The sequence below is a fragment of the Homo sapiens genome, chromosome 1 (assembly GCF_000001405.40).
Source record: "Homo sapiens chromosome 1, GRCh38.p14 Primary Assembly".
NCBI lineage: Eukaryota > Metazoa > Chordata > Mammalia > Primates > Hominidae > Homo > Homo sapiens.
This window is the reverse complement of record NC_000001.11, coordinates 66972350-66988897: the sequence shown is the minus strand read 5'-3', so window position 1 is coordinate 66988897 and position 16548 is coordinate 66972350. Positions and strand designations below refer to the sequence as shown.

Here is a 16548-nt window from a genome sequence, read left to right as displayed (position 1 = left end):
TTTGCTGCCTTCTTGAAGAACAGGGCATGCCGCATCTCTGAAGCCACAAGCCAAGCAAGCATAGTACCTGGTACAAGTATAGGCCGAAATATTTGCTGGATATTAGAGTATATGGAAACATAATGAAAGCTTGTCATCATTGACATTTAAATGTGAAACTGTCACCATCAATTTGGACAATTAGAATCCATCTCATCTCGTTTACATGGCAATTCTTCAATATTCTTCACAGAATAAGTAGCCTTTAAAAGTGTGTTCAAATTACTTCTTACTCAAGAGCAAGCAAAATGACATTTTAATTACATTATACATTCTATAATTCTTTATACTAACTAAAGACAAATTGAAAATAATCATATTCTGAAAAGGAAAAACTCCACGTCCGTATAGTTGGCAAAAGATCAGCACAATACTAAGGGTACATGACAAGAGTTTATGGAAAACTGGTATTAGAAAAGAAAGGTTAATCAGATATTCAGATACATGAAATCAGTCTGTAAGTGGGTGGATGGATGTGTGGAAAACCCTTTAAGATTCTGCAAAGGATGAACTTGATATTAAAGAAGAGAGTTAATTTTTACGGTAAAAAGTTGTATCAGTAGAATTATGTGATACAGAAAAAGTCATTTTGAGAGAAGAGAGTCATTTTTAGAATAAAAGGTTAAAATTTGGAAACTCCTGTTCTTCTGTATGTTACATGGTTTTCCACACTGGCATTTTTCATGAATATGGATTATAGTTGGGAAAACCTTACTATCTGATTTGGTATTTAGTTACACACCCCATGTAAATATTGCCTATTATATTCACCAGCCCTCAGTTATTCCAAGTGCCCACTCCTAATTATCCATCGATAGCAAAGAAAATATTGTGACAAAACAAGTTTTATTTTGCAAAACATAATGTGATATGAACTCCACTACAAAATACGGGAACACATTATTTTTAAATTATATAATCCAGCAGAAGAGAAACAGAGTGAATGGAGGTCTAGGGACTGAAAGGATCTCTTGTGGCAAAGGGGAAGAAGACAAAAATACATCACCCAAGATGTGGTAAAGGGGACCAAGAACCACTGAAAAAGTAGTGCAATATGTCTAGGAATAGAAGAAACAGACTGTGTATATATATATATTTGCCTTGTCAATAACATGCATCATTCAAACAATCTCTAATAAAATCTTAGTGAATTAATCTAATGAAAATATTCACACAGTATTATGTAGGCAAATATGTTTAAAAAAATATTTTAATAAGCATATTCAGAATGGCAGACAAGGAATGGGAGAAGGGAATTATTTTACAGTGCAAAATTACTATGCATAAATTTAACATCTAATTTGAAATTTTAAATGCCTATTTAAATATTACTTCAAATACATTTTAAAGCTCAACAAACTTGTGTTGAACTGAATTGCAGATCCTGAACTCTATTTGAAAATACATCATGAAACAGAAAATACCCATTCCAAATGAAAATGATAGTGCTTTGTTGGGGGTGGGAATGAGGCGGGGAGACTAAATCACTATTAACAGACTTCTTTTTCCAATGCAATTTGTCAAAAGTTCAAAAGTTCTGAAATGTACTAAATCTTAAGCAAATTAAATTCATGATATTACTAAAACTTTTTAAATAGTGCAATGACTTATCAAGTTATAGTGGCTGCATTAAGAACAAATTATTGTGTGAAATACCTGTATAAACACAAAATACAATTAAATATTTCTTTACAAAAAGCTGAGCATTACGCATAATAGTGGAATGTCTTTCATTAGGTGTATTTTTTAAAGATTAACAAAAGTAACATTTCCTAAAATGTATACATGTGCCATATTTTTGCAAACATGCCTGAGAATGTATTTAAAACATTTCTGTAGTAAGAGTTTGCAAGAACTTCACAAACCTGCAAATAAAATGCATCTTTTTAAAAAGGTGAAAATGGCATCTCCAACACTGCAACAATTCAAAAAGTACAGCATCCCTAATCTTTAAAAACATTTCTACAGACCATCTTTGACAAAGAGCTAGGATACTTTGGATTCATTTAATAAAAAATGATTTAGAAAACAGATTGTGACCATCTGCTTGCTAAAGCTACTGCCATTCTGGATAAATTAAAAGTTTTAAGTAAAACAAAAACAACAAAAAACTCATACTTCTCAACACTTCCACCCAAAACTTTGATTTACTTAGATATGTATGTAACAACAGTGAATGTACATTAAGATGAAGTCAAGTGTTGCAAAGTGGCTTTTAACACTGTTTGGGAAAAAAAGTTGTTCACATTGGTGAAGGGAAGCAGTCCGAACATATGTTAACAGTAATACTTCATGGGGGTAAGGCCTGAATGCTAATTTCTCAGTGCAAACCTTCACTCAATTACATCAGACAGTTGAGCCATTAAAAACAAGACCACAGAAGCTTTATTTTAAAAAGGCATTGGCTCTTGAACTGATGGCTGAAAAATGAACTGGAAGAAGCATTTGGAGTATGCCTGTGTGAGAAAAACAAGAATAATTAATATTTTATAAAAGTTTGGATATAGGTTGGTCTATCAGCTATATAAAACTACATTATTTAACAAGAATTTAGCACTAAAAATAAAATGGCACTTTTACAAGGCTATGCAGATGGATAATCCTATCTGTAATCACACAGAGCAATGATTATTGTGTATCTTATTTTCACTTTGGAAAAGCATTATCAAATCTGAAAAATTGGATTGTAACTAGAAAAGTTTGAAAAGTTTTCAAACTTCACTTTCTCTTCATAAAATCGATACTGCCTGCCAACAGTTGTTCCTTGTGTGTGCCAATATCTAAGTATCACTTGACCCCCCTCCTCTGTTTATTTAATGCAGAAATGGGAAATTTTATGATGCATATAAAAATAACAGGATTCTGGTCAGCATGATATATTTAAGCACTTAAGCTGACATTAAACTTTTGTCTTGCTTCAAAAATAATTTTGAAAATTATAGCAAATGCAAAACAAACTGCAATCTAAGCATCATGCTTAATTTCAGAATTCTCAAATTACTTGCCCTTAAGTAGAAATTTAAAAAAAAAAAAAAAAAAAAAAATTTTATAATCCTTTATGAATGCTTTAACCACCTGGATAAGAAATATGACTTAATTACTACACAAACACTTAAAAATTCATTAGAAAAACCTTAGCAAAATAAAATGAAAGCTGACAGACTCAGAATAACAATTCCTCTCATAAAAGTTTACCAACTGTACAAGTTAAGAAAATTATACACGCTTTTGTATTAAGAAAGGACAGCTCAGTCAAGACATATGTACTGTAAAAATCTTTCAAAGGCTACAAAGAATCTGGAAAAATACAGAATGTATTTCTTAAGCCCAGATAAGAATATGGAAAGACATCATTGATGTCAACAATTTTACATATACAAACCTGACCTGGTTTATTTTTAAACTTCTATATATAAAAAAATCATGCTAGCATAATTTTCAGGATTCGTAAGGGTTTCCTTAATAAAGATACTCAAACTGTTTGGTGAGAAAAATGTCTGTTTTAAAGACATTTCAAGAAACTCAGAGAAATTGGTATTAAGCAGAAATTTGGACTTGAGTTTCCCATTCATCCATCAAACTAAGCAAAAATTACCTTGTAGTGAAATTTTATGATTAATACATCAAATGAGAAGGTACAGATACATCTTTAGTTCATTCAGATTTACCAAAATTAGTAAATCTGAATGAACTAAAGATATTCAAATGAGAAGGTAGAGATATATCTTTAGTTCATTCAAATTTACTAATTTTTAAAATACCCTTAAAAGAGTCTGACAGCTTTAAAGTAAAAAAATCTGCAAAAGGCAGAATTATGAAACCTCATTTCCTAAAGTTAAGACTCAATTCAAATTTTCAAACTGCTTCAAGGAAATCAACTTTTTAAGGTAACCCATCAACCCTGAAAATTTTAGTCACACCAGAATTTACTCCAAAGAAAGTAAAATAGGTCTAAAATTTAGTCATCTGTGTTTTCAAGTTCTTCAAATTTCCCATGTGAGACTGCTTCTTGGAAAAATTCAGAAGAACCTGGACTTTCTTTTCCATTGCTGTTTACCCTTCGCCTTTTGGCAGGTCTCTCACTTTTTTCATCAAAATCATTTTCATTTCTTGCAGTCATATGGGCAAGTTTTGGGTCAGTGGTAAGGTTATCTGTTTCATAACCATTAGTATCCATATCTGCATGAAGTGGTTTCTTATTTCCACCTGTTGGTCCATTAATGTGTAACCCTTCAACTTTTACTTCCTCTTTGTTTAATATTTCACCTGGTCCATTAGATGACACTCCTAAGTTGAAAGAAATATAAATGAAACCACAATTAGAAAAAAGTTAAATTTGCAAACTATTATAAAACAGCTTGTAGTTATTGTTATCAAGGAAGCAAGGTATCAAATACATAGTCTAAATTCTTGCTCTATTACTTATAAGCTATGTCGCCTTAGGCAAATTATTTACTCTTTCTGTATCTCCATTTCATTACATATATACAATGAAGATCATAATAGATATTCCTCACAGGGTTGTTGTGAAAATTAAATAAGTTAATAAATGTAAAGAACTAAGAACAGAATTTGGCATATGTTAAAAGCATATTAGGTATATGTGACAGCAAACAAGCACTGGATCCAGCAGTCTAACTAAGCTGAATTAATGGAAAATGCAGTAAATTACTCAGATTTAACAAAAGGTTTTCAACATTCTAAAACCACGTAAAAGCAAGATGAATGCTCTTTCTTTAAAAAGCTTGAGTAAACTGCCATATAAAAGCAAGATGTCATGACTTTTTTATTCTTAATGTAAATCTATGGGAACTGTACTTTAAAAGATCACACAAGGCTGGGTGCAGTGGCTCACGCCTGTATTCCCAGCACTTTGGGAGGCCAAGGCGGGTGTATCATGAGGTCAGGAGTTCAAGACCAGCCTGGCCAATAGGGTGAAAACTTGTCTCTACTAAAAATACAAAAATTAGCCAGGAGTGGTGGCGTGCACCGTCTCCCAGCTACTCGGAAGGCTGAGGCAGCAGAATCACTTGAACCCAGGAGGCGGAGGTTGCAGTGAGCCGAGATTGTGCCACTGCATTCCAGCCTGGGCGACAAAGCGAGACTCTGTCTCAAAAAGAAAAAAAAGATGATCACACACTATTTACCTAAGTAGACTTAAATAATCTGTCATAATGTTAAAAAACTAATGCCGCACTATCCAAGCATATACTTGAAAGTGCTAAATTATTTACTTAAGTAAATACAAATTACTTAAAAAGTAAATACAAATTCTATAGTAGGTGAGAAAAGTAAAAGCAAAATTATTCTAATAAAAGAAAACAAAAGTTCATTTTAGAGTTGACTGTAAAATGGAATGCAAATTTTGGTGATAAGAAGTAAAATATAGGGTGCATCACTGAATAATTACAATTTAATTGCTTGAAAAATATTCGGCATAAAGGATGAGCCTCAAATACTGTATTCTGATAGAAGAAAATATTCTATTTTGACCAACTCAATGCACTCAAATCATGAATGCACATGGGGATTATGCATCATAATATATTGAAGAGAACAATTCTGTAGGAACAAGTCCAAAAAGCTAGCTGACGACTGTGATTAGGTCAAAAATAACTGTAAGATTTCAAAGTACTAATTAAAGCCCCATATAAAAAAGTAATATAACATTGGGATGAAAAGTTCCTTCCTTCCTTTGAAAAAGCTGGCAGTTTTGACTGTACGTAATGTTGAGTGGCTTTTGAGCTACAAGTAATTTATAAGTAACTTATGAACACTTTCCTAGCCTAACAGCATGTTCTCATCAAATAGTTTCTTAAAAAGGAAAAGAAAATGATTTGGTGTTAATATGTTAAGAACAAACAGGAAAAACAATAGTAGTACCAACTGTCTGCCTCCCTTGAGCCTATACGGTTAGTCCCAAGGTCAGAGTCTCAGCATCTTATTCTACTTCAGAATGGACGTGACAAACATTAGACATCAAGTCAATAAACCTTCTTGGACCAGGACATAGTTACTGGGCCCTAAGTTTTGTTTGTTTGGTTTATTCCTAGAAGTAGTGAGGGAACAGAGAGGGGTCATGAAATGAACTAAGCATATACACTCCAGCAGGACCAATGTGAGACCAAAGGTCAGAAGAGGATCAAGGCTTTCACAGTGTTTCTCTTCCAGTTTCTGTCAGGAAGAAGTCAGCTCTTCACTGGTACTCTCCTATCACCAGTTTCCTCAGAGGAGCTGGGGGTGGCGCTTATTACTTTCTTCTTGGAACTCTTTTACTTAAAAAGACCATTTAATCAAAGAAGAAATCAAAATAATTCTCTGGCTCTTACTACTGATCAGCACAGTGATCTCTGGTCCACTGTATATTTTAAACGGAAACACTATCTGAACCTCAAACAATTGGTATGCCTTTTTCTTCTCTTTTTCTTGGAGAGAAAAACAAATATTTCTGTAGAATATTAATATACAGGTTGATACCGGCTTTATCTTTTCTCATTATTCAAGGTTATTATGCTATCAAAGAGAACTTAAATATTCAAAACAGTGCACTTGTTACCTTACATCAAGGTATTTTGCAATGATCTGTATATCTCATGTGAAACTGCAGGGTTTTGACCTAAGAGTTAACATAAATACTTGTATCTAGGCATCAACCCAACTAGACAAGACAGGAAAAGAGATGCTACTGAAAAAGAACAAATTTCTTACAAGAAATAGTCACTGTTGACAGTAGGCTTTATTAAAATTACTTTTTAGTGATGTCCAATCACTTTGTATTCTGTTAGTATATATGTATGCTGATGTTATGTTTGTCTCATGTGTTATCATTTTTTACTTTCTGCTCTGGAAGTTTAATAGAAACCCAAACGGAATTTCCCAAGTCACTGCAAGAAAGTGTCCCTTATTATGAAGAAAGAGAAATGTTTCTCTGGTTGCTTACCATTTTGATTAGCAGTGCTTACAGTGCCATCTTCTTTCTCAGACTGGCTGTTACTACTGTTTGATGCAGTTGGGGGAGGGGATGGTGCTCGACTAGATGCAGCACTTTCACTTTCGTCTAGAAGACGATCCATGTAATCCCTTAAAATTAATAAAACAATTTTTATATTAAAAAGAGCTGAAAATTAAAAATTAGTTGAGGTTAAATTCAGAAGGCTTTCTTAACAAATATATCCTAATATTCACTTAACATTCATTCCAGTGCTTCATCTATCATACCAGGATCTGAATATTTAAATGAAAAGCTCCTTTTGGTTACATGTTTATAGGAAAAATGCATAACGGCTTTAAAGTAACAAATTTTAGAGACCCATAGGAAATTTTAAAGCTTGTAAAGTTGTAGGCAGGTGCTCAGAGTGGCCCAACTAGAACTGGAAGATCTCTTAACTGAAGTGATAGGGGTGATGTCTAGTAAAAGTACAAAAGAATTTCTGTACAAACATAGATTGAATTTTAAAGCTCCTAAAGGCGATACCTAAAAGACAAATTTGAGCCTAACAAAAAGGACTGATTACCTCCTAAAACCTTCCTGGATATTTTTGGTATTATATTTCTGCCAGATCTGAGCTATAAGATGCTAACTAAATTCCTGGGATTATCTGCTGGTTTTATCCTGTCACTTTCTCATTGTATGTGAGCTCATTTCTTCTCTAAATCATTCCTGAACTACGTAACTGTGGTTAAGTGACATTGGTGAGCAGATCTGGGATAGAGATTTGTCTCTCTCAGGTTTAGTGTATCACCTACAAAATGTAGATAAATCATATGTCTAACACACATGGTTATTGTATTATATATGTACATAAAAATGTTTCATAATCCAAAAAGTGCTACTAAACCACTAGAATAAAAGTCAGCCAACTATAGCCTGTGGGCTGGCCATCTGTTTTTTGTAAATAAAGTATTATTGGAACCCAGCCACACACCTTTGTTTACATAGTGTCTATGACTGCTTTCCTGCAACAACTGCACAACTGAGTAGTGTGATTAAGTCCTTTCTTACTACAGAGCATAAAATATTTATTCTCTACCTGTTACAGAAAAAGTTTGCTGATACTAGATACTGCACTAGAATTCCCCAAGGTCAGGAATTTTTAGTCTACTTTGTTTATACCTGCACCACTGGTACCTAAGTTGTGCAAGGCACAGAACAGAAAGAAACTCAATAAAATTCTAATTGTGTTATTTATCTTAAAATTCCTTCAGCATAAGTATGATAGAAATATTAAGACAAATCTCTTAGAATTTTGTGAGCAGGGTAAATAAGAAGGAAACAGTGGAAGCTCTGAGGAATTTTCTGAAAGTCTGTGTTAATAGTCTATAATATGCTATTAATTGTAGTTATCTCAACCTATATGGTCATCACTGTCTCCTAGGTTATAGGGATTTAACAAATATAGGGATGTGATACCTGACTTCAAGAAACTTCTAATAGTCTGAGGTATAAAACTAATACATATCTCAGAAATGTATATGACCATGACCTATGCAATTTACATTCTATGCCTTATTTTCCTCATCTATAAATGAAGGGAATTCAATTAGATGGTCTTGAATACCTATAAATCTATATAGAATTAAATTAGATGGTCTTGAAGACTTCTTCAGCTTTATGCTACTCATCATAATTATAGAAAAATTACATAACAAATTTGAAGCACACAGAAATAAGTGTGGTGAGTCCCAAAGGGACTTCAGGTGCTAAGGCTAACAGAAGACACATGATGAGGAATTGTTGGAAATAAATACGTTATAGTGGGAATGGATAATATGAAGGAAGTTAAAAGCCAAAGCAAGGCCGGGTGTGGTGGCTCACGCCTGTCATCCCAGCACTTTGGGAGGCCGAGGCAGGTGGATCACCTGAGGTTGGGAGTTTGAGACCAGCCTGACCAACATGGAGAAACCCTGTCTCTACTAAAAATACAAAATTAGCCGGGTGTGGTGGCGCATGCCTGTAATCCCAGCTACTCGGGAGGCGGCGGCAGTAGAATCACTTCAACCCGGGCGGTGGAGGTTGCAGTGAGCCGAGATTGCGCCACTGTACTCCAGCAGCCTGGGCAACAGGTTGAGACTCCGTCTTTAAAAAAAAAAAAAAAGCCAAGGCAAAGGAAACAAGAGTTGATATCAAAATTATTTTTAATTTCTGGATATAGTCATAATTCTGTGAAAGGATAGTAATTATTATTATCATTGTTTCCTAAAGATTAATAGCATCCAGAATATTCAGGAAAGGGCAGAATCAGACAAACCATCCAGAAAGTTGAAGCAGCATTCAGGTAATCAAAGTTATGCTGAGTTAATGTTTAGTTTTTGGAAAAATTATTTGGAAAGCTGAGTATTCTACAATGAAATCTCCAATAAGGTTCCCAATTCTTCCAGGTAGTAAATAGGGACAATGTGTAGCAGAATCTTTCAAAGGCTGTTTGTAGGCAGAAAAGGGGAAAATGTGTTTCATCCTGGTGAACAAATGACTTTCAGGATAATGTGCTCTGAATTATGGATTTTGACCTAAAAAGAAGGATGAGAAAATTCACTCAAATTTCTCTCTAAACACATTAGCTTAATGTTTTATGAAGTCACTTAAAGTGCAGCTATTAACAGAAAGAGATGGTAATGGAAGCAAACCAGAAAAATTTATCCCCATCTGGAAAGAAATGTAGTTTGGTCACTGCTTCTTACAGAAGACATAACACAGCTAAAAGGGAAGAGTCTCAGTAAAAAAGTATGATTCTTTCAGTTAAATAAACTTTATAAAAAAAAAACAACCCAGTGGGGCTACAACTGAAGCCTACAAAACCATGGTATTCCTGCCTAAGGGAAAAAACACATTAGTTCACGTCATACCATTATACCAGGTGACCACTATTAAGATATTGTTTATTTTTAACTGTGGCCACTCTACCTAAAGAATATTTAACCTTAAGAGTCATTAAAGTTACAGATAAAAGTATCTTCAAAAAGTTTTCAGAAGCTATGGGGAGATCAATAGAGAAATTAGAACATTTGGTGGCACATCCCTACCTAACCTGTTGATCTTGACATCACAGAGGACCAACTAAGCCAGCCCACACTTTGGTGATGCTTTCTGAAAGAGAAAACTGGATGAACCATGGGTCTGACCCAGCATGGCCATTCTTATGTTGTTACTGCTGATGATTACAGACTGAATGTAGCTCACGTGTGAACATTATTTCTGAAATGGTTGAAAAAAATAAAAGATGTTACTATTGCTTTTCCCTATATAATACCTTGAAAATCATGACTATTTTAAGATATATCTGCAGACTAGATGCTGTATCTAATTCTATATTATTATGCTTGAATACTACCAATGGAAAAAAAATTAACTATAAATTTAACATTAAGCAATTAGATAAAATTTGCAATACTGCTATTTATGAAATTCCACTTTAGCAATCACCAGCTTTGAATAATGGGGGATGATGTACACACTCCATTGTCCCATGATTTCCAAGGGTGAATCATACCCATTTATTCTCTTTCAGATTGTTTTACTGTGGGCTTTAGAGCATTTGACCTTCTAAGGAAGTGACCAGCAGAGATACCTACCTATAAATGAACTTGATCAAGAAACAGTGCAGTTTAGGAGTCTGAAGAGCAAGATCAAATAAACATACAAGCACATCTTTTTTTTTTTTTTTTGGAGATGGAGTTTCGCTCTGTTGCCCAGGCTGGAGTGCAGTGGTTTGATCTCGGCTCACTGCAACCTCCGCCTCCTGGGTTCAAGCAATTCTTCTGCCTCAGTCTCCCGAGTAGCTGAGACTATAGGCGTGCACCACCACATCAGCTAATTTTTGTATTTTTAGTAGATATGGGGTTTCACCATGTTTGTCAGGCTGGTCTCAAACTCCTGACCTTGTGATCCACCCGCCTCAGCCTCCCAAAGTGCTGGGATTACAGGAGTGAGCCACCGCACCTGGCCCAAGCACATCTTTCGAAGGTAATTATTTGGTCAGCTTTAAGAACATCTTTACTGGAGTACATTGACAAAGTCAATTTTTTTTTATTTTTATTTTTTATTTTGCATTATTTTTTTATTCTGTAAACATTAGGGAATAATTAAGGATAGCACTGTAAAGTTAATTCCATCATAACAATTAATCACCATTTTAAAGCAATTCATGAAAGACAAGGGGTTCAATACTCTTTTCTGTTTAAGTAACAAATTGCCAGTGGTAGTGGAATGTTTCACTCCAAAGCTAGACTGAATGAGGTGTAGACAATAAATTCTCTTAACATGGGAATAAATTAGGCATATCAGACATTTTACATAAAGAATGGATACAACAACCCATATCTGTGTCAATGGGACTACACTAGAGTTACATTACTAATTCTTAAATATTACTTGTTAGAGGAAAGATTCAGGAAAGCTAGGAAAAGGAAAGTCACCATATACATGTTTTTTTTCCTCTATAAAAAAACTGTATGCTGGGTACAGTGGCTCACTCCTGTAATCCCAGCACTTTAGGAGGCTGAGGCAGGTGGATCATTTGAGGTCAGGAGTTCAAGACCAGCCTGGTCAACACAGTGAAACCCCGTCTCTAATAAAAATTCAAAAATTAGCCAGGCGTCATGGCAGGCACCTGTAATCCCAGCTACTCGGGAGGCTGAGGCAGGACAATCGCTTGAAGCCGGGAGACGGAGGCTGCAGGGAGCTGAGATTGCACCACTGCATTCCAGCCTGGGCAACAGATTTGAGACTACATCTCAAAAAAAAAAAAAGAAGATTAAAACTGTATGTGCTTATACTGAATGGAACTGAATTTAAGAAAAACATGCTTTCACAGCTGTTCTGATCCATTTCTTCTCAACAGTGTATTAAAAATATACATTCTAAATCTTGCTTTAATGATATGCTTGTCTCATACATAATATGAACTGTAGTTTACAATATTTCATAAGACACTGAAAAGTCTAAATGCCTTATTTATGAAGATATAATAGATGGTAAAGTTTAATGTGTATTATAAAAGCAAGATTTTATCACTCTCGGCCTTCTGGTTAAGATCAAGTATATAAAAGCAAGATTATCAAAATAATAATTAACTCAAGAAAAATCTAGAAAAGCTTAGCAAAAATGTATATATAGCTCTTAAGGAAAAAATTAACTCACGTTACACCAGGATGAAGATTATATTTCTTCTTTCCAAATCGTGTTTGCTGAGCAAAGAAATCATAACGTTCAGATTTTTTCCACATGTAATAGAATGCTACACATTCACCAACTGACCTTGTTCGGACCTGTAAGAAACAAATGCTTGCTTTTAAGAATCTCCTTTTTAACAAAGTTACTTCATGATAAACATCTGAAGTTTGAAAATAAATTTGGCTAGTCCTTAACTGAAATATAATCCTATATATAACATACAACAGTGTAGCAGCTATGTTGAAAGCTATTCTTTCTAAACATCTATTAAGAGAAATAATATATTGGCAACAGGTCTTCAGATATACAGCACTGTGCTTTTTAAAATGCTACCATCATCCTAATTTACTAGAAAAATATATTCCTGTATTAAAAATGCTTGGAAGTTGGCCGGGCACGGTGGCTCACGCCTGTAATCCCAGCACTTTGGGAGGCCAAGGGGGGTGGATCACGAGGTCAGGAGTTCAAGACCAGCCTGGCCAAGATGGTGAAACCCCATCTCTACTAAAAATACAAAAATTAGCCGGGCATGGTGGCAGGTGCCTGTAATCCCAGCTACTCGGGAGGCTGAGGCAGGAGAATCACTTGAACCCCAGCAGGGGGTGGGGGTGGGGGCAGAGGCTGCATTAAGCTGAGATCACACCACTGCACTCCCACCTGGGTGACAGAATGAGACTCAGTCTCACACACACACACACAAAAAAAAGGCCTGGAAGTGGCATTCATGTTAAAATAAATGTTATAAACAGTTTGCTAATACTTTTACTCACAGAGTACGGGTACCTAGGGAGCGTATCTTTAAATTCCCTTTTGAAAGATTCTCTTACTAGTCCCAACAGCAACCCAGACTCAGTTAATTTACTCTCTAGAAAGTCTGGGAAGATGCCACAGTGAGTTAAAAGTATCATAATAATGCTAATGCTTTGTTTACTAAGTTACTCTTGCGGCTTACTGTGCTGTACCTATTTGTGCAACTGAATGGCTCCCCTCACATAATGTTAAATGCCTACGGAATTAAATGATGCTGACAGAATTCCTTTTTGTTACTTAGCCGGGAGAACTGGTGGTAGGGTTGATGTATATATATAAAATACTGAGGATTTAGGGCTGATGTATATAAATAAAATACTGATAACTTTTTTCCTTTCTTTTTCTTTTTTTTTTGAGATAGTGTCATGCTCTGTTGCCCAGGCTGGAGTACAGTGGCACCAAACCGCTAACTGCAGCCTTGCCCTCCCAGGCTCAAGCAATCCTCCTGCCTCAGCACCCTCAATAACTGGGACCACAATTGCATGCCACCAAACTCAGGTAATTTTTCTATTTTTTGTAGAGATGGGGTTTTGCCATGTTGCCTAGGCTGTTCTTGAACTCCCAGGCTCAAGCAATCTGCATGCTTCAACCTCCCAAAGTACTGAGATAACAGGCATGAGCCACTGCACCGGCAATACTGACCATTTAAAAGGAAATCCAGTGTCTGTATGTGTTCTGGATGCAATATACTTCTTTATCCCATAAATTTCTGCTCTTGAAGTAAATATTCTGTAGCACTGATTGCACCTAAAGGACAAATGTTGATGATACCCTCCCTTACCCAACATATATTTTGCTTTCTTCCCGTTTGCACTGTACAGCTCTGATCCATATTGCTCTGAGACTGACAGCAATCAGGACTTTAAAAAAAATCATCCTCTCAAGCTGTTTTTTGTCTCCTCTAGGATCTTATTTCTAGATAGATTCGAACTAAGTCAACTGTACTTTACTGAAAGCAAAAAGATAAAGTCATTTTGGGGCATGCAAAGTTAAGATTATGAAAAATCTTCAACAAAAGCCCTCAAAATAGAACTTATGATTAAGATCTGAACTTTAATTCCAGACATAAAAACAAACTCGATATTCTCACTAGAGTACTCGTCTCCCTTTTAAAGAATTACTGTCCTCTTTTTGTGCACTAGAGTAATTTAGTGTATTATGTAGAGGTCAGCTGACTTCTACCTTGTAACATTTAAATGCCACTGTCCCAAATATTTATGAGAAATCAAGGTTATACTTTTAATACTTATGTTACTTGGCTCTAAGTTTCAAGTCACCTATAATTTCTTAACTCCTTTAAAAAAATCATATTGGTCAGGGTTGTTGCTGCTGCTTGTTACATAAGCTATCATTCCAGGGGTCCCTTCCTTAGGTAATTCAGCATGGTTTGGTTAAGAGTGTTTTAATTCAAGCAGAAGTGTTAAAAAACAACAACAACAACAACAAAAAAAAAACCTCATCCAAAAATGTTGTCCCTTTCAACCATGAAACAACGAACTTTTTTCTTTTTTAATCAAAAACATACACGGCCAGTCACATAATGCACTCCTTTTCTTGAATGTTAACTATATTTGAGGTTATCAGATGATATGAACACAACATTAGGGGTATACATTTTTGAAACTAATTACATTGTCTTCTAAGTTATCCTAAATGCTAAAACTAAACATTTCTCTATTAGTGTTATCTGCGGTAAACTGCCAACATTCAACAAAATAATTAAGAATGAACTAATTGGGAGTGGGGCTCTTCACTGCCCAGTTCCCACTTAAAAAAAAAATAATAAAAATAAGAATAAACTAGTTAATGCACGACAAAATTTAAGAAATGAACCCACAGGATTTGTAAATATTTTATTAATAACAAAAAATATTAAATATGTGTCAAAAAAATCAACTGGATACAATCCAATCACATCCAAATGTATAAAAAGAGAGCTGTGGCAGAAGACTATTCAGAGCCTCAGACATAAGCCCAGGTACTTTCAACAAGGTCCTGGACAAGCTACGACACAAAACTTAGAAGCTATCTTTAAGGAATTACATAAACCAATACCCTTGTCATTTCTACTAACTAAAAATAATGTGATAATCATAAGCCTGGGAATTAATTTCCTACATTTAATCTCCAAGACTTTAATTCTGCCTGTCCTAATCTGTTGTCCTAATGTGTTGCTCATGGAAACAACACATTTTTCTATTCTATATAATTATATGGTTACTATTAAAAATCATACCTAATTTCAGTTATAAGAATTAAGCCCCAAAACAAATCTGTAAGTAATTATAAAGCTATTTGGAGTATAAATTACATGACTGATATTATCAACATGAAATGATAAATGATTATGTTAAATAAAATCCTCAAATTATAACTATAAGAATATAAAGCTGATTTATCGACACAGAAGCTCCTAGAAAATTAAATGTTGACTAAAACTAAGTTAAATATTAAGTATTTGATTTTAGACCACTCAGGACTTAAGCAAATGTAATAAATATTTTAACTGCAAATAATGTCATATTGAAAGTGCTTTAAAGTTTCCAAATCATTTCAAAGGCCCTCCATAAAACAGTCACAGACTGTGGAAAACAGCTATAAAGAATTGCATTGCACATACACACCCCAACTAGAAGTTGATTAACATGCTTGTAAATGAGTACAATTCTTAAACACCTGCAATATGATGCACTGAAAACAGTCACCAACAGGTAATTATAGGTTAGGAAGTATAGGCAGCCTTACTATAATTACTCACTAAATACCAAAATATTGTCATATTAATTATGAAACCTTTAACACTAGACAATATAACAAATTACGATACATGACCATTTGAGTTGTTCAACTAAATTTCTTTTTGCAAAAAAGAGATTATCATTACTTACTTTATTAGCCTGAATCAAATGAAAATCCTTTCCATAGGCCTTCAGCCCTTGTTCAAAATTTCTACACTCTTCCTCTGTCCAAACAGATAATTCCTCTGACAAGATGGGAGGAACAAACTGTTAAGCAATATTCCCCCAATTATTGCATATAACAAAATTACAAATGAAAACTTAACCTTCTCGTAAAAATGAGGGAAGCATTTTACTCCTGAGCTCTATTACTAATTGTTGCAAAAGATAAAGTGACAACAATTCCTTATTTAATAAGATTTTGAATGATTTGGTCCCTACCTCTCCAGCTTCAACTTGTGCCACTTTCTTCTTAATTCTTACTGATCAAACTATCTCAGCCACCTTTCAATTCCTTAAATTTGCCATGTTCTTTCTTACTTCAGACTTTGTGCATGGTGTCTCTCCTTTGCTTAGAATTATTTCCTGCCTCATCCCCTTTCACTGAGATAATTCTTTTGCATCCCAACAAAAATATTACTTCATTCTGAATGCTTTCCCTAAAAGCACTACCCTCTCTGCAAATAGGTTAAGTCCCATTACTACAGGTTTCAATAGCACCCTCTAATTTTCCTTGAAGAATTCATCAGCTATTTTCCAGTTTCCCTACCTAAGCTCTAAGCACCACGAGGG

At 34.7% G+C, this 16548-nt stretch overlaps 2 protein-coding genes across 31 annotated transcripts in view, besides 2 other annotated features; one reads left to right on the top strand and one right to left on the bottom strand.

Annotated features, from left to right (window-relative positions):
* The window catches only part of SLC35D1 (solute carrier family 35 member D1), an 81173-nt gene extending 65251 nt beyond the window's left edge, over positions 1–15922 (top strand). The window contains exon 13 of one of the 2 annotated variants that reach the window (XM_047415662.1): positions 13380–15922. The gene's annotated coding sequence lies outside the window, so the exon portion shown is untranslated. Of the gene's footprint in view, positions 1–9241; positions 10731–13379 lie in introns of those variants that run through there. The other variant, XM_047415665.1, reaches the window with a different exon arrangement.
* Positions 279–16548, bottom strand: part of MIER1 (MIER1 transcriptional regulator) — a 63630-nt gene continuing 47360 nt past the window's right edge. For 23 of the 29 annotated variants that reach the window (NM_001146110.2, NM_001350530.2, NM_020948.4 and 20 more), the window contains 4 exons: positions 15907–16001; positions 12176–12303; positions 6980–7119; positions 279–4326 (listed from right to left, as the gene is read on the bottom strand). In NM_001146110.2, coding sequence (NP_001139582.1) covers positions 3998–4326; positions 6980–7119; positions 12176–12303; positions 15907–16001 — 692 coding nt within the window. In that variant the 3' untranslated portion in view covers positions 279–3997. Of the gene's footprint in view, positions 4327–6979; positions 7120–12175; positions 12304–15906; positions 16002–16548 lie in introns of those variants that run through there. The other 6 variants (NM_001077702.3, NM_001077703.3, NM_001146113.2 and 3 more) reach the window with 3 other exon arrangements.
* Positions 4125–4325: a silencer, noted in NCBI's record as "peak274 fragment used in MPRA reporter construct". NCBI's record gives its function as "represses an SCP1 promoter by STARR-seq MPRAs in K562 erythroleukemia cells {active_cell/tissue: K562}" and the evidence as "EXISTENCE:reporter gene assay evidence [ECO:0000049][PMID:32103011]".
* Positions 4313–4362: a silencer, noted in NCBI's record as "silent region_975". NCBI's record gives its function as "represses an Ori minimal core promoter by ATAC-STARR-seq in GM12878 lymphoblastoid cells {active_cell/tissue: GM12878}" and the evidence as "EXISTENCE:reporter gene assay evidence [ECO:0000049][PMID:35858748]".